The 26,734-nt window shown below is 42.8% G+C and overlaps 1 protein-coding gene across 1 annotated transcript in view; it reads left to right on the forward strand.

Moving 5' to 3' along the window:
* FUT8 (fucosyltransferase 8) overlaps positions 1 to 26,734 on the forward strand; it is a 387,280-nt gene that overhangs the window by 19,654 nt on the left and 340,892 nt on the right. Inside the window, exon 3 of the mRNA XM_047431179.1 lies at positions 255 to 379. The gene's annotated coding sequence lies outside the window, so the exon portion shown is untranslated. The remainder of the gene's footprint in view (positions 1 to 254; positions 380 to 26,734) is intronic.

A 26,734-nucleotide genomic window follows, 5' to 3' on the forward strand; every position in this document is an offset into this window, starting at 1 on the left:
CACCTCCTGGTTTCAAGTGATTCTCTTGCCTCAGCCTCCCAAGTAGCTGGGATTATAGGCGCCCACCACCATGCCTGGCTAGTTTTTGTATTTTTTAGTAGAGATGGGGTTTCACCATGTTGGTCAGGCTGGTCTTGAACTCCTGACCTCAAGTGATCCACCCGCCTTGGCCTCCCAAAGTGCTGGGATTACAGGCATGAGCCGCTGTGCCCTGCTCACAGTTATTAAAAGCACTGATTTTTTTTCTTTCATAGCAGACAAGTTCATCTTCAAGAAAACTAAGAGATCTCTTCCCCTGACAAAAAACAACTCCATGTTTGATGGGACTCAGACCTGGGCTCTTCTGTCACCTCTAGGTAGGGAGGTCTTGGAGAGCAAGGTGAGTTCCTATGAAGAGTTTCACGTGAGGGATAGAAAAGGATGGATGTGTCAGTTACTCTCAGGTAGCCCGGAAGAGCCTGGCAATGTTAGATTTTTATGTTCATTTTAATTGTTTTGATGTCTTAACCTAGTAATAAATTGTCAGTTAATCACTTTTATGCAATAATAAAAGGTGCATAAAATGTTACTGCTGCTTCCTGCTCAGGCCCCCTCCCCAGCATGGAGTGTTATTGAGATACATTTCATTCAGATAAGTTGGCAGTTTTATCAGAGCATAGAGGACACCCTGACAATTATCCTACATGCTGCAGCAGACAATATGAAAAGCTTCTAGGTCCAAACTCCCTCTAGCTCCCTAGAGTATATTTTACAAAGGGTGCAGCTTTGATGGAACTGGAGAGTTTGGTCACCAGGTTATTTGATTGTAGGAAAAGTCCATATTCTGCTCCAGGACTTAGAGACTAAGGTCAGTAAATGGGGAGATAAGTGATTAACAAATGTGATATTCTTGCCTGGTGGTAAAAATAAAAAAAATTTAAAAAAACCCAAATGTGATAAAATGGGCATTCTGTGTTAAATCAAAGCTGCATGGGTTTTAAAATCAGGTTTATGTAATAATATTTTGGAATTCTTTCCAATTATAGTGAGACCAGAGTGTTCATGGAAAGTCACCATCCACAGACATTGGAAAAATAGTCATTCCCAATTTCTGCTATGTGATCCCGGTATGGCCTTGCTGATTTGTTTGCTTTCTAATTCCTTGGTTTAAGTAGAAAGGAGGATCCTCTTTACAGTGTTACTGTGCAGAGTAGTAATTGTCAACCTCGATCTTGTAAAAAGCAAGAATCTTTCTGAGGATGTTGCAAACTCTCAAGAGGTTTGAATCTAGCCTGGTATGCCCCTCCCACCGAGCACATGACATCAGGAGAACCAGTTGTGAAATTAAACAATGATAGGGTGATGCAACTTCAAAGAAGTTGGAAATTTTTGATATAATACGGTTATAAAGCTACAGGTTATAAGAATAAGTGACTTGAATTTATGGTGAGTCATATGACAATCTCAGCACTTCACTTGGTGGCTGTTTCCAAAGGAGGGAGAAGGAAAAGACAGAGAAGAGATGAGGGGCAGAGGGAGAGCTGCCTCAGTTGTGACAGTTCTACCAGACCATAAATTAAGCTATTATTAGTATCAGCTGTTACTTATTATTTAACTCAGTAGTGCTGCACTGTAATTCTACAACTCTTAACTTGGCAAACATGTTGTAATGGAGCCAGCTGTATGAAAGAGTCTATATAAAATTAACTTTACTATTCTTGTTATTATAGTTTAGGAGTCACCCTACCAAGTGGGTATGATGATGAAGGTGAGCTGCTAAGAAAGAGGTTGAGAGACAGCTGATGTTTGTTTCAAGCAAATCTTCTTTAACCCGAGGCACCAGGAGCAGAGGGCCAGTGGGTAAAAAGGTTAAGTAGGATGGAATCTACAATAAAGCCAAATGTGTGGGTTCTATTGCTGATCTTGTCGTTATTTTGGATTTTTGGAGTGGAGATGAAATGAAAATGTTTGTTTTGTATCTACCTGCCCAGGATGTAAGTAAGAGGGAAGAACAAGACTCTAGGAGAGAAATAGAGGCTCCCCTAAAAAAACACCTTAAGTAAATGTCAGGTGATGTCACCCATAAAGTCTTCCAGCCATAATAATTTCACCTGAAAGCTATTTATTTTGGAAACAGACAGAAAGCCCTGTCTGTTCCACTTTAAAGTTTCACATTAATACTCCCTCATTTTCCGATGTTAGAATACTTCCAGGACTATAGGTGAAATAAGTCTACTAGAAGATTAGCCAAACATCTGTTTGTCTACATAGTGACCCTTACAGCATCAAAATTTTCTTTGACTCTTCCATGTAAAGAATTATGAAAAATATAGTAATACTTCTAAAAAAATTTCACAAGAAGGTTTTTTTTTTTTTTTTTTTTTTTTTTGAGATGGAGTTTCACTCTTATTGCCCAGGCTGGAGTGCAGTGGCATGATCTCAGCTCACTGCAACCTCCGCCTCCTGGGTTCAAGCGATTCTCCTGTCTCAGCCTCCCTAGTAGCTGGGATTACAGGCACATTCCACCATGCCTGGCTAATTTTTGTATTTTTAGTAGAGATGGGATTTCATCATATTGGTCAGGCTGGTCTCGAACTCCTAACCTCAGGTGATCTGCCTGCCTCGGCCTCCCAGAGTGCTGGAATTACATGCGTGAGCCACCTCTCTCGGCCAACACAAGAAGCTTTTTAAACAAATAAAAATAACATGCAGAAACACAAGAAAGCAGCATCATATAAGCAAGGTTCAAACATTCAATAAATATCTAGTGAGTGGCCAGGTGTGGTGGCTCATGCCTGTAATCCCAGCACTTTGGGGGGCTGAGGCGAGCAGATCACTTGAGGTCAGGAGTTTGAGACCAGCCTGGCCAACATGGTGAAACCCTGTCTCTACTAAAAATAGAAAAAACTAGCTGGGCATGGTGGTGCACACCGTGGTCCCAGCTACTCAGGAGGCTGAGGCAGGAGAATCGCTTGATCCTGGGAGGCGGAGGTTGCAATGAGCCGAGATGGCGCCACTGCACTCCAGCCTGGGCAACAGAGGGAGACTCTGTCTCAAAACAAAAAACAAAAAAAAAAAGTGAGTACTAATTACTTTATGTGCTTGGAGCTGAAATTGTAGTGGGTGAGTGATGCAAACCAGGATCCAGTCTCCACAGCACTGCATGCCGTTCTGGGTTCAAGAAAAGGGGGCCTGATTATTTTGAGTCTGTTTTTTGTAAGTGAGTGTCTTACTCCGTTTGTGCTGCTATAACAGGATACCATGGACTGAGTAATGTATAAACAATCGAAATTTATTTCTCATAGTTGTAGGGGCTGGGAAGTCCAAGATCAAGGTTCTGGCATTTGATACCTGGTGAGGGCCATCTTGCTGGGCATCCTCACATGGCAGGAGGGGCGAACACTGGGTCCTCACCTGGAAGAAGGCAAAAGGGCAAAAAGGGCCTTAGCTAGTTCCCTAGCCCTTTTATAAGGCACTAATCTATTCAGGAGGGCTCTGCCCTCGTGACTGAATCACTTCCCCAAAGGCCCCACCTCTTAATACCAGCACAATAGGGATTAAGTTTTAACAGGAATTTTGGAGGAGACACATTGTAGTAGTCCATTTTTGCGCTGCTGATAAAGACATACACGAGACTGGGAAGAAAAAGAGGTTTAATTGGACTTACATTTCTACATGGCTGGGGAGGCCTCAGAATCATGGCAGGAGGTGAAAGGCACTTCTTACATGGCAGTGGCAAGAGAAAAATGAGGAAGGAGCAAAAGCAGAAACCCATCAGATCTCATGAGACTTATTCACTATTACTAGAATAGCATGGGAAAGACAAGCCCCCATGATTCAATTACCTCCCCCCGGGTCCCTCCCACAACACATGGGAATTCTGGGAGATACAATTCAAGTTGAGATTTGGGTGGGGACACAGCCAAACTGTATCACACATTAAAACCATAGTAGAAGGTTAGACAAAAATAATAAATGGATAGGGATAGAATAATGTAGTATTTTAGAGGCATGGTTCAGCAGCCTGTGGCAAGGGGTCCAACAGCAGCTTTGGAAACAATTTCTAGTGGTTCAATATTCACGCTGTGGAGAGCCAAGTAGGGATGCTACCCTGATTTTATCCCAACCTCTCCCAGCCTTCTGCAACCTCATCCCCAACTTTACTCCCACTTGAAGGGTCATCCCTCTGGGGTCCTCCAAGGCTCTTTCAGGCAGGCTGGTCATGTTTCTTGCCTTTTCTTGCAGCTACCCCCAATCTCAACTTGGTTCACTTGGATGTCAATGAAGGAAATCCTTGGCAGCTACTTCTGAATGTATTGATCCCAATTTTGGAAAGTGTTTCGCAGAGAAAGGGACAGTCAATGTCACAAGTTTCCCATTTAGAGGTTCCCATTTACCATCTGGAAAATTAGAAGTCTTCTAGCTTGCTGGTCTGGTTGCCTGTACCACATGGCAAAGATAATAATAGGAGGGTCAGGCAGTGCAGGATGGCTCAACCTCAGCTGCCATCCACTGAGCCTCCACAATTGCCTAGGCATTGTAGAAAGAGGTGGCACAGTCCTAGCCCTTGATAGATTTGGAATCTAAAGTTATATTTTTTTACATTTGAAAGAAGAACTTAAAAATATGCAGGTTAAATCCACTTCCTAAATATTTATTGATTGCCGTTAACTTGGACCATTTAACACTATCTTTTTGAAGCCCCATCTCCCTTTGCTCTCACTAATGGAGTGTTCTCAATAATAGGCTTTTTCTCTTTCTTAAATGATCTTCTACAGCTCTTTCCTTTAAACTAAACTAAAGGAATATTATCATAACTGAAATGTTTTCCTATTCAGCTAGAAATGAGCATTTAACTTAAAACAAATTGCAGGCCAGGCTTTAAAGGGCCATTAATTAGTAATGGTACCAGAGGAGCAAGGTGACTAGATGGCTGAAAGTGGACAAAGTGGTCCTAATTTTTGCTTCTTATTCCATCTGACAACATTTGTCCTTGAAAAGCACATTTAATTACTGAATGAGGTAATGTGGTAAAATTTCAGTATGGTGCCTGGCACATGGAAAGCGTCAGTAACTATTCCGGGCCTCTTGACCCTTTGCCTTCTACCTTCTTTGCTCTCAGCAGTCATTCATACCTTCCATCTCATAATGAAAATAATGGCTTGAGCTCACTCAACTTTCCTCAACTTAAAGCTTATCTTTTTGGTATTCCTTTCCCAGGCTGACTACTACACTGATAATTTTGATGCCACCCACCCCAGGCTGCTCCAGGGCCATGTTCTTCCAATAACTTCTTCTCTACTGTGTATCTTCGTTCTCTCTTCTTTATCTCCTTACCCATAGTCAACTCATATGCTCTAAATTAAAATCCAGCAACACTTTCTCTCCACCTTTTTAATTGTAAGTTACTGGCTGTTTTCTCCTACCTATTGCACGAAACTTCTTGAAAGAGTAGTCTACACTCTCTCCCTCCAGGTCCTCATCTAAAATCTACCCCTTGCCTATTGCAACTTGGCTTCTGCAAGTACTAAAACTGTGTTCCCAGAGATCTGTAATGACCTTCTATTTACCAAAGCTAGAGGCTTCTTCCCATTCTTCTTTCACCTCTCCGTGGCATGTGATGTGCTTGTCCACTCCTTTGATGAAATTCTCTTTGCTGCTTTTATCTGCTGTTCTTTAGCATCTGTGCTCTTTATCACCTCTCTGTCAGTACCTTAAATGTTTGTGTTCTCAAATGTCCACCCTTAGCTGCTTCTGTTTTGCTCTGGATTAGTGCTTCTCAATCTGGATGCCTCTAAGAATTATCTAGGGAGCTCTTTGAAAACCCAGATGAAATCCCATTAAATTTGGGTAAATATCTACTGATTTTTCTTTATTTTTGAGACAGAGTCTCGCTCTATCACCCAGGCTGGAGTGCAGTGGCGTGATCTCGGCTCACTGAAACCTTCGCCTCCCGAGTTCAAGTGATTCTCATGCCTCAGCCTCCGAGTAGCTGGGACTATAGGCACACACCACCAGGCCTCGCTAATTTTTTAAAATGTTTTTAGTAAAGTTGGGATTTCACCACCTTGGCCAGGCTGGTCTTGAACTCCTGACCTTGGGTGATCTGCCCGCCTGGACCTCCCAAAGTGCTGGGATTACAGGAGTGAGTCACCGTGCTCGGCCAGTTACATCTGATTTCTAGCTTCACCCAGAAATTCTGTTTAATTGATCTGGGGTTGGGCCCTGACATCTCTTTTTTATAACACTTCTCAGTGCAGCTAGGAATGAGAACCACAGCTCTAGAATAGCTGCTTTTGTCCTTAGTTCTTGCCTCATTCCTGATACATAGACTCTATTGTCTAGCTCTTTGCTGAGCATCTCAGTCTAAATGCTCTGTAGTATCTCACTTTCTATGTGGTCCAGATCAAATTCATTATGCCCCAAATCTTTTTTTTTTGCCCCAATTCTAAGAACTTCTTCTGTGTTATAGGGTCACCATTTTCTCATGCTGCCAAGCTGGAGACCTGGAAGTCATCTTTAAAAATCCCTTCTGCTTTGCCCTTTCTCTTACTTAGTTGCCATATCCTATAGATTTTACTGCAGACCCTTTTGAAATCCATTCTCCCTACCACCAACCAACGCCCCATTTTAGAATCTTATTGCAATCACTTCTTACCTGGCCTCCCTGCCTTCAGGCTCTTTCCTATTCATTCCATCTTTCACATGCTAGTAGAGAGATCTTTCTGGAACACAGTTCTGTTGATACGTACTCAATAACCACCATTGGATTCTTTTTTCTTTTTCTTTTCTTTTTTTTTTTTTTTTTTTTTTTTTTTGAAACAAAGTCTTGCTCTGTTGCCCAGGCTGGAGTGCAGTGGCATGATCTTGGCTCACCGCAATCGCCGCCTCCGAGGTTCAAGCGATTCTCCTGCCTCAGCCTCTCACGTGGCTGGAACTACAGGCATGTGCCACCACACTCAGCTAATTTTTATATTTTTAGTAGAGACGGGGTTTCACCATGTTGGCCAGGCTGGTGAACTCCTGACCTTGTGATCCGCCTGCCTTGGCCTCCCAAAGTGCTGGGATTACAGGCGTGAGCCACTGTGCCTGGCCCCATTGGATTTCTTTTACCCAAGAATAAAATACAGATTCCATAGTAAGGCCCTCATTATCTGGCCCCAATTCTCTAAAACCATTCCTAGATTCCCATCTCCATGATGTTACCTAAATTGCAGTTGTGTTTCCCCAATCATGAGTTCCTTCTTGTCTTTGCGTATACTATTCTCTTTGATTAGGACTGGTTTCAACTCAGATGGTTCAAATGAAGGGATAATTTACAGAGATACAGTCAGGGTAAAGGGAAATCACAAGAGTGGTTGAGATAACCAAAGACTAGCAAAGTGGGAACCTCTTATCTTCCCTAGGCCCAAAGGTCCCATGGGATGAAACACTGCCATCATAGCTCAGTGCAAGTTGGAGCCATGGGAAAGGGGCCATCAGTAGGAAATGCAGGCAGAGAGGGTGGCAGCCACTGCAAGAATCACAGTGTGGAAGCAGAATGGGCACAGTGAAGAAATATCCCAACTTCTCTGTCCTCCTGCCCTCTGATCTCCAGCCAGTGTCTTTCACTGGCCAAACTCAACCAGAAGCCAATGAACCACCAAGGATAGTCAGTTAAGGCAGGATACTAGTTAGGAAGCAGGGCAGTGAGAGGTGGGGAATAGATGGTGGTGCAATTAATGGTGGAGAAATTAAATGGATAATAACTACAAAATTCTCTTCTTAAAATTAAAGGAAATTTATTAATTTTGAGATAGGGTCTTGCTCTGTCACCCAGGGTGGAGTGCAGTGGTGTGATCATAGCTCACAACAGCCTCCATCTCCTGGGCTCAAGTGATCCTCCTGCTTCAGCCTCCCAAGCAGTGGGACTACAGGCATGCACCACCATGCCTGACTAAAATTCTTTTGTATATAGTAAAATTCTTTTTCTCTTCTAGGACACAGTTCAAATGTCACCTTTTATGTAAAGTCTTCCACCATTTTTGTCACCCCAAGATCCAGTTATTTCAATTCTCTATGTTACTTTAGCTGTTGTAATGCCTTCATTATTGAAGCTATCAGTCAGATTTATGATACAATTATTTATGAGATCTGCATCCATCTCTTGTATAATATTTTGTGATTTTGAATGAAAGGGATAGTGCTTCATTTGGTTCAGTGTCTTGCAGGTAACAGGCACTCAACTGTTGGGTGCATTTAAATGCATTTTCATGTTATCACCTTCTCAGCCTCTGTCGGGAAGATTTGTATATACTTGTAAACCATTGTCCTCACATTTTAAAATATTTCTAATTTTCATATGAGTTTGTTTCTTGGTTCTAATTCCACTTCTTGCTGGACTTTTCCCTTCTCTTTACCTACATTTCTTAGGTTAGATACTTTTTTTTTTTTTGAGACAGAGTTTCGCTCTTGTTGCCCAGGCTGGAGTGCAATGGCATGATCTCAGCTCACCGCAACCTCCACTGCCCGGGTTCAAGCAATTCTCCTGCCTCAACCTCCCGAGTAGCTGGGATTACAGGCATGTGCCACCATGCCTGGCTAATTTTTTTTTTATGTATTTTTAGTAGAGACGGGATTTCTTTATGTTGGTCGGGCTGGTCTCGAACTCCTGACCTCAGGTGATGCACCTGCCTCGGTCTCCCAAAGTGCTGAGATTACAGGCATGAGCCACCGCGCCCGGCCTTAGGTTAGATTCTTAACTGTAGCTCCTTAACAGTTTGTTGGGAATAAGCCCTCACTGATCCTGGCAAGGGTCTAAAAATCACTAGCTTTTTCCATATCCGAAGTGTTGCATATAAAAAAACTTTTCTTTAATTTTTGTATGCACTATGCTTAAAAATGAAGTCACAGTAAACCAATTTTTATTCTCCCTTAAACTCTGAACTCTTCTGAATAGAAGTTATGCTTGGCTTAACATGTTTTGCATATAGAAAAGGCTGTGAGATGCTCCTATTCTTTATAAATACCAACACCAAATGCAGACAACATATTTTTACTATGCAAACACTATTGTACATTAATGGTTTTGACTCACATTTGATTGTGGCTTTTAGATTTTTTATATGAAAATGGCTGTTTTCAGGCCCAATGAAAATATTATTTTTACATTTGTCATATTGAAAATGATAAAATAATGGCAGAAGTTATAATTGTCTTAGCAATTATGAGTTTTCACGGCAACTATTGTATTTTTCTTTGTCTTTTTTGTAGAGACAGTGTCTTGCCATGTTGCCCAGGCTGGTCTCAAACTCCTGGGCTCAAGCAATCCACTCACCTCAGTCTCCCAAAGTGCTAGGATTACAGGCGTGAGCCACGGCACCCAGCCTATTATATTTCGCATTTTAAGAAGTTCAGTCCAGCCATGGTGGCTCATGCCTGTAATCCCAGCACTTTGGGAGGCCGAGGCGGGTAGATCACCTGAGGTCAGGAGTTTGAGACCAGCCTGGCCAACGTGGTGAAACCCCGTCTCTACTAAAAATACAAAAATTAGCTGGGCGTGGTGGCATGTGCCTGTAATCCCAGCTACTTGGGAGGCTGAGGTGGGAGAATCGCTTGAGCCCAGGAGGCGGAGGTTGCAGTGAGCAGAGACTGCGCCCTTGCACTCCAGCCTGGGTGACAGAGTAAGACTCCATCTAAAAAAAAAAAAGAAGTTCAGTGGTGCATGCCTGTAGTCCCAGCTACTCAGGAGGCTATGGCAGGAGAATTTCTTGAACCCAGGAAGTGGAACTTGCAGTGAGTCGAGATGGTGCCATTGCACTCCAGCCCAGGTGGATGGCTTGAGCATAGGCATTTGAGACCAGCCTGGGAAACATGGTGAAACTCTGTTTCTGCAAAAAAATTAGCTGGGCATGGTGGTGTGCGCCTATAGTTTTAGCTACTTGGGAGGCTGAGGTGGGAGCATCTCTGAGCCCAGGGAGGCAGAGGCTGCAGTTAGCTGCGATTGCGCCACTACCCTCCAGCCTGGGCCACAGAGTGAGACCTCGTCTCAAAAAAAAAAAAAAAAAAAAAAAAAAGAAAGGGAAGTTCAACTTGGGTCTTCGTTTTTTAATATCTTTTCTTAACATGCTCATGCCTTCCTCTACTTTCTGGAACATATGGAACATAGTTATGATTGCTGTTTCAATGTCTTTGTCTACCAATTTTATTTATTACCTGTATCATATCTGGATATGTTTCTATTGATTAATTTATTTTTTTCCTCATTATGGATTATATTTTTCTGATTCTTTATATGCCTGGTAATTTTTTCTTGTATTCCGTATTGTGAATTTCACATTGTTGGATGCTGAATTTTTGTTTATTTGTGTTTGTCTTCCTTTAATTTTTTTTTTTTTTTTTTTTTTGAGACAGAGTCTCACTCTGTTGCCCAGGCTGGAGTGCAGTGGTGCGATCTCAGCTTACTGCAACCTCTGCCTCCTGGGTTCAAGTGATTCTCCCACCTCAGCCTCCCCAGTAGCTGGGATTACAGGCGCCTACCATCACGCCCGGCTAATTTTTGTATTTTTAGTAGAGACAGGGTTTCACCATGTTGGTCAGGCTGGTCTTGAACTTCTGACCTAAGGTGATCCGCCTGCCTTGGCCTTCCAAAGTGCTGGGATCACAGACATGAGCCACCATGCCCGGCTAAATATTTTTGAGTTAAATATTTAAATATCCTTTAAGTATTTTGACACTTAAATTTAAGTGACTTGGAAACAGTTTGAGCCTTCTGAGGCTTGCATGTAAACTTTGATAGGCAAGTGCAGAGCAACTTTTAGTCTAAGGCTAATTTGGCCTCACCTTTCTGAATCCTCAACCTGATGCTCCACATATCGCCAAGTTTTTCCATTCGGGGAATGTGAGCTATTTCCATTCCTGCGTGATTGCCAGTAACCGCTCCATTCAGGTGTCTCTTTCCCTGGTCAAAGGTAGTTTCCTCACACATGTGTGCTGACAGATACGCAGCTGAAGACTCAAGAGGAAGCCCCTGCACAACTCTAGAACTAGCTCTTTTTGTGCAGCTGTCTCCTATCTGGTAATCTACCCTACGAATTCAAAATGGTAACAGGCACAGTTATCAACAGTTGTTGAGTGCCTGTAAATTCAGGACTCCGCCTCTCTGAATTCTCAACTTCATCTGTTCAATTCAGAATATCTGCCAGGCTTTGTTGGGGTTTCTCTTGCCTGTGCTGTAGCCTGGAATCTTTCCAGGCAGTGAGCTGGGGCAATTATAGGTTCACCTGATTTGTTTTTCTTCTTTCAAAGATCATTGTCTCATGTTGCATGTTGTCCAACATCTGAAAACTGTTTTGTATATTTTATCTCATTTTCAGTTGCTTAAGGTACACAGTAAATCAGGCCCATGTTATTCCATCATGACCACAAGTAGAAGTCGCACTTTTGGTTTTTAAATAGGGGATGAGGAGGTATGTTTAACCAATTTTGTGTCAGAAAAAGAAGCCAGAGTATGATCATGGCCCAGTTATTTATCTTCTTCTTAGCCTTACTGTCTTATTTATAAGATGAAGAGGTTGGTCTATATATTATAAAGTTCTTCTCTGCCTCTTAAATTCTGTGATTTTATAAGTAAGCACAGGAGTATCTTTATAGAGAAACTGTTGTATCTTCCCAAAGTGATAAAGTTTCAGCAGTATGGAACTCCCATTTTGCCATAGTCGAGCAAATTTAGGAGGGAAGATTTGTGTTTTAATAGATAAAGAAGGAGTCTTTAGTTAAAAACTTGAAATGGACAATACCAATCCTACAGTACACACATGAAAAATGACCAAATAATCTGAAGATGAGGAAATATATAGGAATATTCTTTGTTGCATTATTGGGCCTAAGCAAACTGTATTAGATATGTAGTAAGTGTTCAGTGCATATCTGTTGACTATCTTAGTGGCACATGGATCCATTTACCTAATAAGGAAAACTAATTGAAAAAGCTTCCACTATAGCAAAAGTAAAAATTTATCAATATCGGCCGGGCATGGTGGCTCACGCCTGTAATCCTAGCGCTTTGGCAGGCCAAGGCGGGCAGATTGCCTGAGCTCAGGAGTTCAAGACTAGCCTGGGCAACATAGTGAAACCCCGTCTCTGCTAAAATACAAAAAATTAGCCGGGCGTGATGGTGTGCACCTGTAATCCCAGCTACTCAGGAGGCTGAGGCAGGAGAATTGCTTGAACCCAGGAGGCGGAGGTTGCAGGGAGCTGAGATCGCGCCACTGCACTCCAGCCTGGGTGACAGAGTGAGATTCCATCTCCAAAAATAAAAAATAAAAAATAAAAAATAATCCATCAATATCAGATTTGCTAGTGGTACATCCACATAATGGAATATTGTGCAGCAAACACAGTGCAGCTGAGTGGTATGCGTTAATATGGAATAGTTTCAAAGAAAAATTGTGAAATTTTTTAAAATATAAAAACAAGATCACTACATTTTATATATATAAATGAATATGTTAAAATATAAATGTATATATGCATATATAAATGAATACATACATATTTATATATTTGAGACAGGGGCTTACTCTGTCACCCAGGCTGGAGTGCAGTGGCATGATCCTAGCTCACTGTAGCCTTGGACTTAAGTGATCCTCCTGCCTTGGTCTCCCAAAGTGCTGGGATTACAGGTGCAAGCCACTGTACCTGACATACTATATATATACATATATATATAAAAAAATTATTTTTTATTTTTATTTTTTATTTTCTTTTTGAGACAAGGTCTCATTCTGTCACCCAGGCTGAAGTGCAGTGGTGTGTGTGATCGTGGCTTCCTGCAGCCTAAACTTCCCTGGGCTCAAGCGATCCTCCCACCTCAGCCTCCCAAGTAGCTGGGACCACAAGAGTGTGCCACCACACCCTGATATTTTTTTTTTTTTGAGTCAGAGTCTCACTCAGTTGCCCAAGCTGGAGTGCCTCAGCCTCCCAAGTAGCTGGGATTACAGGCACTTGCCAACAAGCCCGGCTAATTTTTCGTATTTTTAGTAGAGATGGGGTTTCACCATATTGGCCAGGCTGGTCTTGAACCCCTGACCTCAACTGATCCACCTACCTCAGCCTCCCAAAGTGCTAGGATGACAGGCTTGAGCCACTGTGCCCAGCCCTGGCTAATTTTTATATTTTTAGTAGAGGTGGGGTTTTTGCCTTATTGCCTAGGCTTGTCTCGAAATCCTGAGCTCATGTGATCTGCCCACCTCAGCCTTCCAAAGTGCCGGGATTACAGGTGTGAGCTACCATGCCCAGCCATGGCATACTGTATACAGTTTTGTTCTCTTTAATTTATATAATAATTTTATAATAAAAAAGATTTAAAAAGGAAAAAGAAACATGCATAATAGTATATACATACTATATATAAAAATATGTTTAAAGGCAATATATAAGTACAATTGGGAGGCTGAGGTGGGCGGATCATGAGGTCAGGAGATCGAGACCATCCTGGCCAACATGGTGAAACCCCGTCTCTACTAAAAATACAAAAATTAGCTGGGCCTGTTGGTACACGCTTGTAATCCCAGCTACTTGGGAGGCTGAGGTGGGAGGATCGCTTGAGCCCAGGGAGGTTTAGGCTGCAGGAAGCCACGATCACACACACCACTGCACTTCAGCCTGGGTGACAGAATGAGACCCTGTCTCAAAAAGAAAATAAAAAATAAAAATAAAAAATAATATTTATATATATATGTATATATACAGTATGTCAGGTACAGTGGCTTGCACTTGTAATGGCTTGAACCCGGGTGGTGGAGGTTGCATTGAGCTGAGATTGTGCCACTGCACTCCAGCCTGGCGACAAAGCGAGACTTCGTCTCAAAAAAAAAAAAAAAAATACATGCTTGTAAGTAAGATAATACATCTAGAAGGATAAACAAATTGGTGACACTGGTGCTTCAGGGAAGGGGGACTAGGGGATAGTGTAGAAGAGAGGTTCACTTTTCCTTTTATGCCTTTTTACATAACTTTTGAATTTTTTATCATGTGCATGTTGTCTAGTTTTCAAAAAATGCAGCTACTAGATATACATAAATTGACTTTTTTCAATGAAGTAATTCAGGTTTTCTAAAAGGGTTATTATATTACTACATATCAGTTTGAGGAAATTTCCACATCTCTAGACTAGATGATGTATTTAAAGGAGGCAAACCACACCCACTTTTACTACTATCACCCCAGGAAAGTACAGGACACCACCAAGTCTACGATTAATTTCCTATTCTTTTTTTTTTTTTTTTGAGATGGAGTCTCGCTATGTCACCCTGGCTGGAGTGCAGTGGCGCCATCTCGGCTCACAGCAACCTCCGCCTTCTGGGTTCAAACGATTCTCCTGCCTCAGCCTCTTGAGTAGCTGGGACTACAGGCACACGCCACATTAGCACCTGGCTAATTTTTTGTATTTTTAGTAGAGACAGGGTTTCACCGTGTTAGCCAGGATGGTCTCGATCTCCTGACCTCTTGATCGGCCTGCCTTGGCCTCCCAAAGTGCTGGGGTTACAGGCATGAGCCACTGCGCCCGGCCTAATTTCCTATTCTTTGTGGAAATAATTATCATGCTAGTGATACCTACTGATACCTACTGGCATCTGGAACATGAGGGAAAGAACAAGACCATTTGTATCCTATGGTCCTGTGTACATTTTTATACTATTTAATTAATCTTTATAATCTAACCCCCCATATTTCTGGCTTCCAGAGGGGCTACCAAGAAATCACAGGGTATGAGAGCTGGACAGTGAGGCTGTGTGATTTACAAGATGTTAACTTTTGGCCAGTTTGCTACTTTCATATTCTACAGATGATGTAGCTGTTTGAAAGAGAATAAAATTACACCCACCCAGTGGAGATGCTAACTTTTTTGTTTTTTTTGAGACGGAATTTCACTCTTGTTGCCCAGGCTGCAGTGCAATGGTGTGATCTTGGGTCACTGAAACCTCTGCCCCCCAGGTTCAAGCGATTCTCCTGCCTCAGCCTCAAGAGTAGCAGGGACTACAGGCAAATGCCACCAAACTCAGCTATTTTTTGTGTTTTTAGGAGAGACGGGGTTTCACCATATTGGCCAAGCTGGTCTCGAACTCCTGACCTCGTGATCCACCCGCCTTGGCTTCCCAAAGTGCTGGGATTACAGGCATGAGCCACTGTACCTGGCTAATTTTGTATTTTTAGTAGAGATGGGGTTTCACCATGTTGGTCAGGCTGGTCTCGAACTCCTGACCTCAAGTGATCCACCCGCCTCAGCCTCCCAAAGTGCTGGGATTACAGGCATGAGCCACTGTACCTGGCTAATTTTGTATTTTTAGTAGAGATGGGGTTTCACCATGTTGGTCAGGCTGGTCTCGAACTCCTGACCTCAAGTGATCCACCCGCCTCAGCCTCCCAAAGTGCTGGAATTACAGGTGTGAGACACTGTGTCTGGCCAGCTAAGTGTTTTGTTTTGTTTTGTTTTGAGATGGAGTTTTGCTCTTGTTGGCCAGGCTGGAGTGCAATGGTACGATCTCAGCTCACTGCAACCTCCACCTCCCATGTTCAAGTGATTCTCTGGCCTCAGCCTTCCAAGTAGCTGGGATTACAGGCATGTGCCACCACGCCTGACTAATTTTGTATTTTTAGCAGAGTTGGGGTTTCTCAATGTTGGTCAGGCTGGTCTCAAACTCCCGACCTCAGGTGATCCGCCTGCCTCGGCCTCCCAAAGTGCTGGGATTACAGGCATGAGCCACCGCGCCCGGCTAACTTTTTTGTTAGAGGGCAGAATTACTCCTCTGGCAAGCTAACTTAAAAGAAGGACTTCTAGACATAACCTGTGTTCCTTTGAGTGTCTGATACCCCTCAGGTAAAACCCAGCTAAGTATTCCCTGGAAGATATGGAGAAATATTTGGAAACATATGTGCAAGGCCACAATTATAAAATCCGTGGCTCATTATGCAAGTCAGAAAATTGCTATGCCCAAGGTATTTTCTTTTGACTCTTATCTGCTTTAAAATTTCTGGTGCTGTTGCCGGTTTTGACTTCCTGAAATACCAGTGCAGCAAGTAGGTAGTCAGTTCATGAAAAATGCCTCCAAGATCCAGCCAGCCAATGAAAGAATACGAAGAATAAGATTCCTGACTTCATGAAGTTTGTTTTGTCACATGAGAGGCTTATTATTGTGTAGAAATCACTATAATACATGAATAATAGGAGCGAAAACATTACTGTTCAAGGAGAAAAATGTTACTTAAAATGGCAGTGTTTTTGGTGGATTACGCATTGGCTGGAAGCGTCCTGCTTCTTCCTCTAATCTGAGCAAAAGATTAAGAATTTAACAAAAAGGGGCCCACTGTTAGTGTTGCCAGATTTAGCCAATAAAAATGCAGAACACCCAGTTAAATCTGAGTTTTAGAAAACAACAAATGATTTTTTAGCATAAGTATGTCCCAGGCGATACCTGGGGCGTACTGAAAAATGATTCGCTGTTTATTTGAAAGTCAAATTTAATGAGCATCTGTATTTTATCTGGCAATGTTAGCGGCTACAGACTAGGAGTGGATGTATTGTTGCTGTCTTTCCTTGCCTTTTGGTTCCTTTGTGATAAGGTGGGTGCTACTGACACCCTCCACACAAGTAGGATGCGACTAGGGGTGAGAACACAGCTGAGAGTTCTTGCTATGCTGCAGAGCCAGGGTGGAAGAACAGGTGTAAGTGAACTAACTGAGAAACAACTGTGAGACATGCCTCCATTTTGCCCCCAGATAACCTAGATGGAGGTGGCTTTATAATATATAGGATGGAAATTTAGCCCTTTAATGCCAATACTAAAGGGAAGGGTGGCCCAAGAAAGCAGAAGGACCCAAAGAGATTCTGTGCTGTGGAAATTGTGGAGTAAGTGATTGATAGAGATTCTGTAGACTAGGAGGATGTGAGATGGGGTGCATCTGCTATGTGGAGTCAGGCTGAGGGAGCTCTTCGCCTCATGCCAGCTAGATTCCAGAGCTGGAGAACACAGGTATGAGAAGACAAAGATAGTGAGTGGGCTGCATAGGTGGATTTTTTTCAATGAATTGTGGAGGATTTTGGAGACCATGTTAAAGATTTGAGTGTTAATCCATGAAGCCACGGAGCCTTTCTCAGGGTTTCTGAGCAGGAAATGGCCTTAGCAGAGCTTGCTTTAGAATCTGGCATCTCTTTATAGTGGGATTATAAAGGGGAAATATCAGTGGAGACAGAGTGATCATGTGGGAGGGGGACTAGTCAGGGCTACTTCTAGTCCGTGTGGCATCTGTATTAGTCTGTTCTCACACTGCTAATAAAGACATACCTGAGACTAGATAATTTATAAAGAAAGAGAGATTTAATGGACTCACAGTTCCATGTGGCTGGGGAGGCCTTACAATCATGGCAGAAGGCAAAAGGCATGTCTTACATGGCAGCAGGCAAGACAGAGTGAGAGCCAAGTGAAAGGGGGTTTCCCCTTATCATTATTATTATTATTTTAGACGGAGTTTTGCTCTTGTTGTCCAGGCTGAAGTGCAATGGCGCAATCTTGGATAACCAAAACCTCCACCTCCTGGGTTCAAGTGATTCTCCTGCCTCAGCCTCCCACGTAGCTGGGATTACACGCATGCACCACCATGCCTGGCTAATTTTTTTGTATTTTTAGTAGAGACAAGGTTTCTCTATGTTGGTCAGGCTAGTATTGAACTCCCAGCCTCAGGTGATCTGCCCACCTTGGCCTCCCAAAGTGCTGGGATTACAGGCATGAGCCACTGTGCCTGGCCTGGGGTTTCCCCTTATAAAACCATCAGATCTCATGAGACTTATTCACTACCATGAGAATAGTATGGGGGAAACCACCACTATGATTCAATTATCTCTCACCAGGTCCCTCTCACAACACATGGGAATTATGGGAGCTACAATTCAAGATGAGATTTGGGTGGGGGCACAGCCAAACCCAATCATTCTGCCCCTGGCTCCTTCCAAATCTCATGTCCTCCTATTTCAAAACCAATCATGCCTTCCCAACAGTCCCCCAAAGTCTTAACTCATTTCAGCATTAACTCAAAAGTTTACAGTTCAAAGTCTCATTTGAGACAAGGCAAGTCCCTTCCACCTATGAGCCTATAAAATCAGAAGCAAGTTAGTTACTTCCTAGATACAATAAGTTACAGGCATTGGATAACTACACCCATTCCAAATGGGAAAAATTGGCCAAAACAAAGGGGCTAAAGGCCCCATGCAAGTCCAAAATCCAGCAGGGCAGTCAAATCTTTTTTTTTTTTTTTTTTGAGACGGAGTCTTGCTCTGTTGCCCAGAGTGCAGCGGCATGATCTTAGCTCACCACAACCTCTGCCTCCCAGGTTCAAGCGATTCTTCTGCCTCAGCCTCCTGAGTAGCGGACTACAGGCATGTGCCACTATGCCAGACTAATTTTTGTATTTTTAGTAGAGATGGGGTTTCAGTATTTTGTCCAGGCTGGCCTTGAATGCCTGACCTCATGATCCACCTGCCTCAGCCTCCCAGAGTGCTGGGATTACAGGCGTGAGCCACCACGCCCAGCTACAGTCAAACCTTAAGGCTTCAAAATGATCTCCTTTGACTCCATATCTCACATCCAGGTCATGCTGATGCAAGAGGTAGGCTCCCACGGTCTTGGGCAGCTCTGCCTCTATGGCTTTGCATGGTACAGCCTCCCTCCTAGCTGCTTTCATAGGCTGGTATTGAGTGTCTGTGGCTTTTCCAGGCACATGGTACAAGCTGTTGCTGGATCTACCGTTCTGGGATCTGGAGGATAGTGGCCCTCTTGTCACAGCTCCACTAGGCAGTGCCCCAGTTGGAACTCTGTGTGGGGGCTTCAACCCCACATTTCCCTTCTGCACTGCCCTAGCAGAGGTTCTCCATGTGGGCCCCTCCCCTGCAGCAAACTTCTGCCTGGACATCCACACACTTCCATACATCCTCTAAAATCTAGGTGGAAGTTCCCAAACCTCAATTCTTGATTTCTGTGTATCTGCAGGCTCAATACAATGTGGAAGCTGCCAAGGGTTGGGGCTTGCACCCTCTGAAGCCATGGCCCGAGCCATACCTTGTCCCCTTTTAACCATAGCTAGAGTGGCTGGGATGCAGGACACCAAGTTCCTAGGCTGCACACAGCAAGGGGTCCCTGGGTCCAGGCCATGAAACCATTTTTCCCTCCTAGGCCTCTGGGCCTGTGATGGGAGGGGCTGCCACAGATGGCTCTGACATGCCCTGGAGGCATTAACATTTGGCTCCTGGTTACTTATGCAAATTTCTGCAGCCAGCTTGAATTTCTCCCCAGAAAATGGGTTTTTCTTTTCTATCACATTGTCAGGCTGCAAATTTTCCGAACTTTTATGCTCTGTTTCCCTTTTAAAACTGGATGCTTTTAACATCACCAAAGTATCTCTTGAATGCTTTGCTGCTTAGAAATTTCTTCTGCCAAGTACCCTAAATCATCTTCCTCAAGTTCAAAGTTCCACAAGTCTCTAGGGCAGGGGCAAAATGTCATCCATATCTTTGCCAAAACCCAGCAAGAGTCATCTTTACTTCAGTCCCCACAAGTTCCTCATCTCCATCTGAGACCACCTCAGCCTGGATTTCATTATCCACATCACTATCAGCATTTTGGTCACAGACATTCAACAAGTCTCTAGGAAGTTCCAGACTTTCCCACATTTTCGTCTTCTTCTGAGCCCTCCAAACTGTTCCAACCTCTGCCTGTTACCCAGTTCCAAAGTCACTTCCACATTTTCAGTTATCTTTATAGCCGCACCCCACTCTTGGTACCAACTTACTGTATTAGTCTGTTCTCATCCTGTTAACAAAGACATACCTGAGACTGGGTAATTTATAAAGACAAAGAGGTTTAATGGACTCACAGGTCCATGTGGCTGGGGAGGCCTCACAATCATGGCAGAAGGTGAAAGGCATGTCTTATATGGAAGCAGGCAAGACAGAATGAGAGCCAAACAAAACGGGGTTTCCCCTTATAAAACCATCAGATCTCATGAGACTTCTTCACTACCACAAGAACAGTACAGGGGAAACCACCTTCATGATTCAATTATCTCACAATGGTCCTTCCCACAACACATGGGAATTATGGGAGCTACAGTTCAAGATGAGATTTGGGTTGGGACACAGCCAGACTATATCAGCATCTGTGTGTAAATTAGAAATGGCTGGGAGGATGCAGCCTAGGGCACTCAGTTTGGCAAGACTATGCCAAGACACGTGGTTTGGTGACTAAATCAGGGGCTGGATTTTAGTTCCCCATTATCCTCTAATATTAATTAACATTAGTGGCTTAATGCAATAAATATTTATTTAGTTTTAGTTTGAGTTATTTTAAGAGATGGAGTCTTGCTAGTTTGCCCAGGCTGGAGTGCAGTGGCTGTTTATAGGCGTGATCATAGCTCACTGCAGCCTTGAACTCTTTGACTCAAATGATCCTCCCACCTCAGCCTCCTGAGTAGCTGGTACTACAGGCCCATGCCACCAGGCCTGGCTAAGATTTATTTCTTGCTCATGTCACAGTCCAATGCCTATAGGGTTGCTCTCCTCATAGTGGATAATTAGGGATCTAGGCCACCTCTATCTTATAGTGGGATGATTGGAATATGTAGCGTCTAAGATCACCAAGGCAGAGGAAGAAAGAGCTGGAAGTTCTTGAAGGGGCACTTAAGACCAGGCTTGGAAGTGACTCACATCACTTCTGCCCACATTTTATTGGCTAGAGTGTGGTGTGAACTTGACTACCATGGTGGCTTGGAAATATAAAGGAGCACAGTAACTTGTAATGTTCTATGGCTAGAAAGCACTAGAGGATGATTCTAGTAGTTTGAGAGGATTATAAGAATATTAGGGGAAATCTGGTGTACAGCAGGTCCTTGAATAATGTCATGTGGTTCAATCTCATTTCATTATAATGATGATGAGAAAAAAATTTTCCAACACAACCAGGGGCCACTGTCTGCAGAGTTTGCATATTTTCCCCATGTCAGTGTGGGTTTTCTCTGGGTACTCTGGTTTCCACCTATATCCCAAAGATGTGCACATTAGGTGGATTGCCATGTCTACACTGTTCCAGTCTGAGTGTGTCTGTGCGTGTGTGTGTGCACACGTGCACGCCTGCCCTGTGATGGGACAGCATACTGTTCAGGGCTGGGTCCTGCCTTGACCCCTGAGCTGCTGGGACAGGCTCCAGCCACCTGTGATCCTGAACTGGAATAAATGGGTAAATAATTATCTTCCTTGTTTTTATTAATTCTTCTTAAATGTATGTATAGCTCACATTTATTTCAGTGTTAAATATTAGAAGTGTTTTGGTCTTTATTTAGAAGTTTGGTGATTTTTCGTGACCAGAAATAGGCCATAGGAACTTAACTCTTGTTTATATCAATTAGCCTGTGGTACAATTGGTTTCCTTATATGGCATTTTGCTTAAAGTTGCAGTTCCCAAAAGCCTATTGATGCCTTAAGTAAGGACTTGCTGCTGTTTATTCAATTTTCATTTTGACTGTAATAAAAGTGTAATATCCTTTCTCTTATACACATCACTGTAGAGATTTAATGAGCATCCATGTCTAGCAATTTAGTTTTTCTAGAACTGTACATATGGAAAATTGAGTCACAAATACAGAAGGACCTCCAGACATTATATTTATTTATTTATTTTGAGACAGGGTCTCATTCTGTTGTCCAGGCTGGAGTATAGTGGCACAATCATAGCTCACTGCAGCCTTGACCTCTGGGGTTAGGTGAGCTTCCTGTCTCAGCCTCCCAAGTGGTGTGTGTCACCACACCCTGCTAATTTTATGTATTTGTTTATTTGTTTATTAGAAGACCAAGACAGTACCAACACTCTGCTTATTAAAAAAATTACTTATTTATTTATTTATTAGAAGACCAAGACACTGCCAACACTCTGCCTATTAAAAAAAATTTTTTTAGGGCCAGGCATGGTGGCCCATGCCTGTAATCCCAGCACTTTGGGAGGCCGAGGCGGGTGGATCACAAGGTCAAGAGATCAAGACGATTCTGGCCAACATGGCAAAACCCCATCTTTACTAAAAATACAAAAAAATTAGCTGGGTGTGGTGATGTGTGCCTATAGTCCCAGCTACTTGGGAAGCTGAGGCAGGAGAATTGCTTGAACCCAGGAGCTTGCAGTAAGCTGAGATCGCATCACTGCACTCCAGCCTGGGTGACAGAGCAGACTCCATCTCAAAAAAAAAAAACAAAGAAACAAAAACAAAGAAACAAACAAAACATCCAAGTTGGCATCTACGTGTAAAAATGTTCTTGTTTCATCTGCATGTGACACTAGAGTTCTAGATTTACTGTGATGAATGTAGAATTTATCCCAGTTCTTTTGGTGAGCAAAGTGGTAAGCTGTGATTGGGATACAGTCAAGGAAGGATAAAAATTTCCCCACCACAAAATCAAAACTATCTGGGTTCAAACCTATTTATCATAGCTTCAGTTAGCCTCTCTGTTACTAAGTTAAGCTCATGGAGGATAAAGACATTTTTTGAGCCGGGAACGGTGGCTCACGCCTGTAATCCCAGCATTTTGGGAGGCCAAAGTGGGTGGATCACGAGGTCAGGAGTTTGAGACCAGCCTGGCCAATGTGGTGAAACCCCGTCTCTAGTAAAAATACAAAAATTAGCCAGGCATGATGACACATGCCTGTAATCCCAGCTACTCAGGAGGCTAAGGCAGGAGAATCGCTTGAACCCAAGAGGCGGAGGTTGCAGTGAGCCGCGATCGCGCCACTGCACTCCAGCTAGGGCGATAGAGCGAGACTCCATCTAAAAAAAAAAGATATTTTTTGAATAGTATTGCATAGGCTCAGACAATCAAAACAGACCACTGACCAATGAGAATTTTGCCATGTTGGTGAACATCAGCCCTGACAAACAGCCCAGGACACTTGAAATCCAAGGCCATGAATGTTCATAGGTCTTAGACTTTCATGAAAATCCAGATTTTTAATATTAGACTTAGTTGTTGGATCACTTGCCATTTGGTGAAAAAAATATGGTCATCACAGGCATAGTTACATGGTAGGAGCTGGCAAATGCATTCCTTGTAAGTTGCAGAGGAAAGTTAATCACGCATAGTTTTGTGTTAGAGGGACATGGAATATTAAAGGTAAAAGGACTGCATGGATTATTTTATTAGGGTAAGAATATTCTTCATCTTTAAAATAAGGCCAAGGAAGGAAAAAGTTAATTAGATTTCTTCTATTATTTAGGAATGGGGACATAAGCTTGTATAAGGTTTCCTATGATATTTTAAAAACAGCTATTTTAAAAGCTATTAAAACTTCATTGGAAACCATTTGCAAGATCTAATAACATGTAAAGACAAAACTTCTTTCATTTAGTCTGTTGTAATAAAATCTACTTTCTTCATTCATTCATTCACTCATCCACTTATTCAATAACTGTTCATTGAACATTTCCCACAGGCCAAGCACTGTTCTAGACACTGGGGATATCATGGTCAACCCATCTGATTCCAGAATTTTTAAAAATATATTTTGCTATTTTGTACATGAAATATGGAACCTGAAAGAGTGAATAGAACATTGGGTTTAGGATTGGAAGACCTGAATTCTAAATGCAGTTATCACAAGCATAAACTATTTTTCTTTTTCTTTTGTTTTCATACCCTTCATGTGGCATCCAGTCAACCATAAACTATATCAATGGTATCAAATAACTATTCAACCGTGCCCCAAATCTCATTAATCTTTAGTTACTTTTTTACCCAATCATCAAGTTCTTCAAAATTTTTGAAATTTGCCTTCTGCCATCCATTCCATTATTCTTGATATTTCTTAAGTTGTTATCCAGAGCTATACCTCATATGGGTGTGTATGTCATGTACCACAAGTGGCAGAGACATTAGTGTCCATCAAATATCCATATACTCCTCTATATTTCCCTGTTAATTCCCTGTTAGTCTTCCCTGTTGGTTCAGGGGTATACGACTTCTGTTGCCATTATTTATATAAACTCTTTACTTCAACACATGATAGCATTAGCTTTTGATAAACCTACTCTGGAGATTAGCTTTCCAAATGGCTGTCTTAAGGCTGGGTGTGGTGGCTCACACCTATAATCCCAGCACTTTGGGAGGTTTGGGAGGGAGGATTGCTTGAGCCTAGGAGTTCAAGACCAGCCTGGGCAACATAGAGAGACGCTGTCTCTACAAAAAATTAAAAATTAGCCAGGCTTGGTGGTGTGCACCTGTGGTTCCAGCCACTTGGAAGGCTCAGGTGAGAGGACTGCTTGAGCCTGGGAGGTTGAGGCTGCAGTGAGCCAGGATCGTGCCACTGCACTCCAGCCTGGGCAACAGTGGGAGACCCTGTCTCAAAAAAAAAGGGCTGTCTTTCTTATATGAAGACAGTTTTGTACCATTATCATACCGCTTTCACCTTTTTGCTATTTTTAAAAGAAGCCATGAGGGTTGCACTTATATAACTCATAACTTCTCCTGAGCCCACCTTTTACCAGACCAATGTAAGGGAGGCTGAGTCAGTTGGTGAGAAGCTACATGGTGTAAAGATGAGCTCCAAAAGCCCACTTGACTTCATAAACAGAACCAAATCCAACAATTATTGGAAACAACACACGGGGGAATTTGCAAAAACCAATATGAGGACTGACGCTGAACTGAATTGCTAAGTACTGGGAATAGAAGGAGGGAATGGTAAGATCTATGAGTGAATATTGGAGAGATTAGGAGAATTGCAGAAAATTGAAGGAGAAAGCAAGGGAAAAAAGTATAGCAGGGTACCAAAGATGTCAGCCAGTTCCTGTGTTTGCTACACCCATGTCCATAGCCCTTGCTGAAGGGGTAGCCACCACCACCTTGAAGTAGTTTGGACCAAAGTAACACCTGATTCAAGGCCAGAAGACCTATGACATGGCTTGGAAGAAAGAGATATGCGGGCCTAACAAGACTTCCTTCTCTGGAGAATGTGTAATAGGAAACTGAGAATTTGCAAGTTAAGATAGTATCTATGCCGTAAGGAAGATGAAATTATAAGGGATCCAAAATTATAAGGGAGCAGTAACCAAAAGGTAGAATAAAGAATAAAAAGGCTGGGCATGGTGGCTCACACCTGTAATCCCAACACTTTGGAAGGCCAAGGTGGGCAGATCACTTGAGGCCAGGAGTTCGAGACCAGTCTGGCCAACATGATGAAACCCCATCTCTACTAAAAATACAAAAAAATTTGTGGTGGTGTACACCTGTAATCCCAGCTACTGGGGAGGTTGAGGCATAAGAATCACTTGAACTCGGGAGACAGAGGTTGCAGTGAGCCAAGATTGTGCCACTGCACTCCCTCCAGCCTGGGTGACAGAGTGAGACCCTGTCTAAAAAAAAAAAAAAAAAAAAAAGGGATTGAGTTGGTAGTGAGAGAAGAGCAGGAAAAGGAATGCCATGGGGAATGCGGAAACGTGAGAGACATGGAGGCGCAGCTTTTTAGGTGCCTCAGTATCCGACAGTGTTTCAGCTCTGGGGTAAGTCTCAGTTCTTGTGTTTTTAAACAAGCCCCTCTTTCTTTGAAGTAAACTGAGTGATTCCTGGGTCCTTGCACTTTAAAGAGCTCAAGTAAGTTGCATAGTCTTCTCAGCCCTTTGATATGTGAGTGTAGGAGCCCAAAAGATGGAGTGTGATTTTTTTTTTTTTTTTTTTTTTTTTGAGAATGGGTCTTGTTCTGTCCCACAGGCTGGAATGCTGTGCATGAACACAGCTCTCTGCAGCCTCAACCTTGGGCTCAAGTTATCCTCCCACCTCAGCCTACAAAGTAGCTAGGACCACAGGCATGCACCATCATGCCCAGCTAATTAAAAAAAAAAAATCTGGGGCTGGGCGTGGTGGCTCACACCTGTAATCCCAGCACTTTGGGAGGCCGAGGCGGGTGGATCACAAGGTCAGGAGATCGAGACCATCTTGGCTAACACGGTGAAACCCCGTCTCTACTAAAAATACAAAAAATTAGCTGGGCGTGGTGGCAGGCGCCTGTAATCGCAGCTACTTGGGAGGCTGAGGCAGGAGAATGGCATGAACTAGGGAGGCGGCTTGCAGTGAGCCGAGATCGCGCCACTGCACTCCAGCCTGGGTGACAGAGTGAGACTCCGTCTAAAGCAAAAAAAATTGTAGAGATGGGGTTCTTGCCATGTTGCCTATGCTGGTCTCCAACTCCTGGGCTCAAACAATCTCCTGCCTCAGCCTCTTAAAGTGCTGGGATTTTAGGTGTGAGCCACTGTGCCCGCCTGGAGTATATTTTAAACTAAATGATCAGTCTTGAAATAAATACAAGTTAACCCCACTTGACCTCTATCTATGTAGGTTTATAAGTCTACTTGTAAATCACACCAGCACAATTTATAGGGAGTTGTTTTTAGAACCTTTAGTCCTTGCTTTAAATACCAACAGTTGTGTTATAGCATGTACTGCAGAACTGAAATGACATTCAGACTTTGGTCTAGGAAATCTTGTCAATCACTTCTTTCTTCTGCTTCCTTAGATTCTGTTTTCATGTTATCTTGATTTTGGATTTAGATCAGATAATTATAGGGTCTGCAAAGGCTTGCTTTAGTTTAGGATTTTTGTAGAGCCATAAATGGCTAATATTTATGGTGTACTTATTCAGTGTCAGGCTCTGTTCTTAGGAGTATTATATGTAATAACTTATTTAATACTAAC

The sequence above is a fragment of the Homo sapiens genome, chromosome 14, assembly GCF_000001405.40.
Source record: "Homo sapiens chromosome 14, GRCh38.p14 Primary Assembly".
In the NCBI taxonomy this organism is placed as follows: domain Eukaryota; kingdom Metazoa; phylum Chordata; class Mammalia; order Primates; family Hominidae; genus Homo; species Homo sapiens.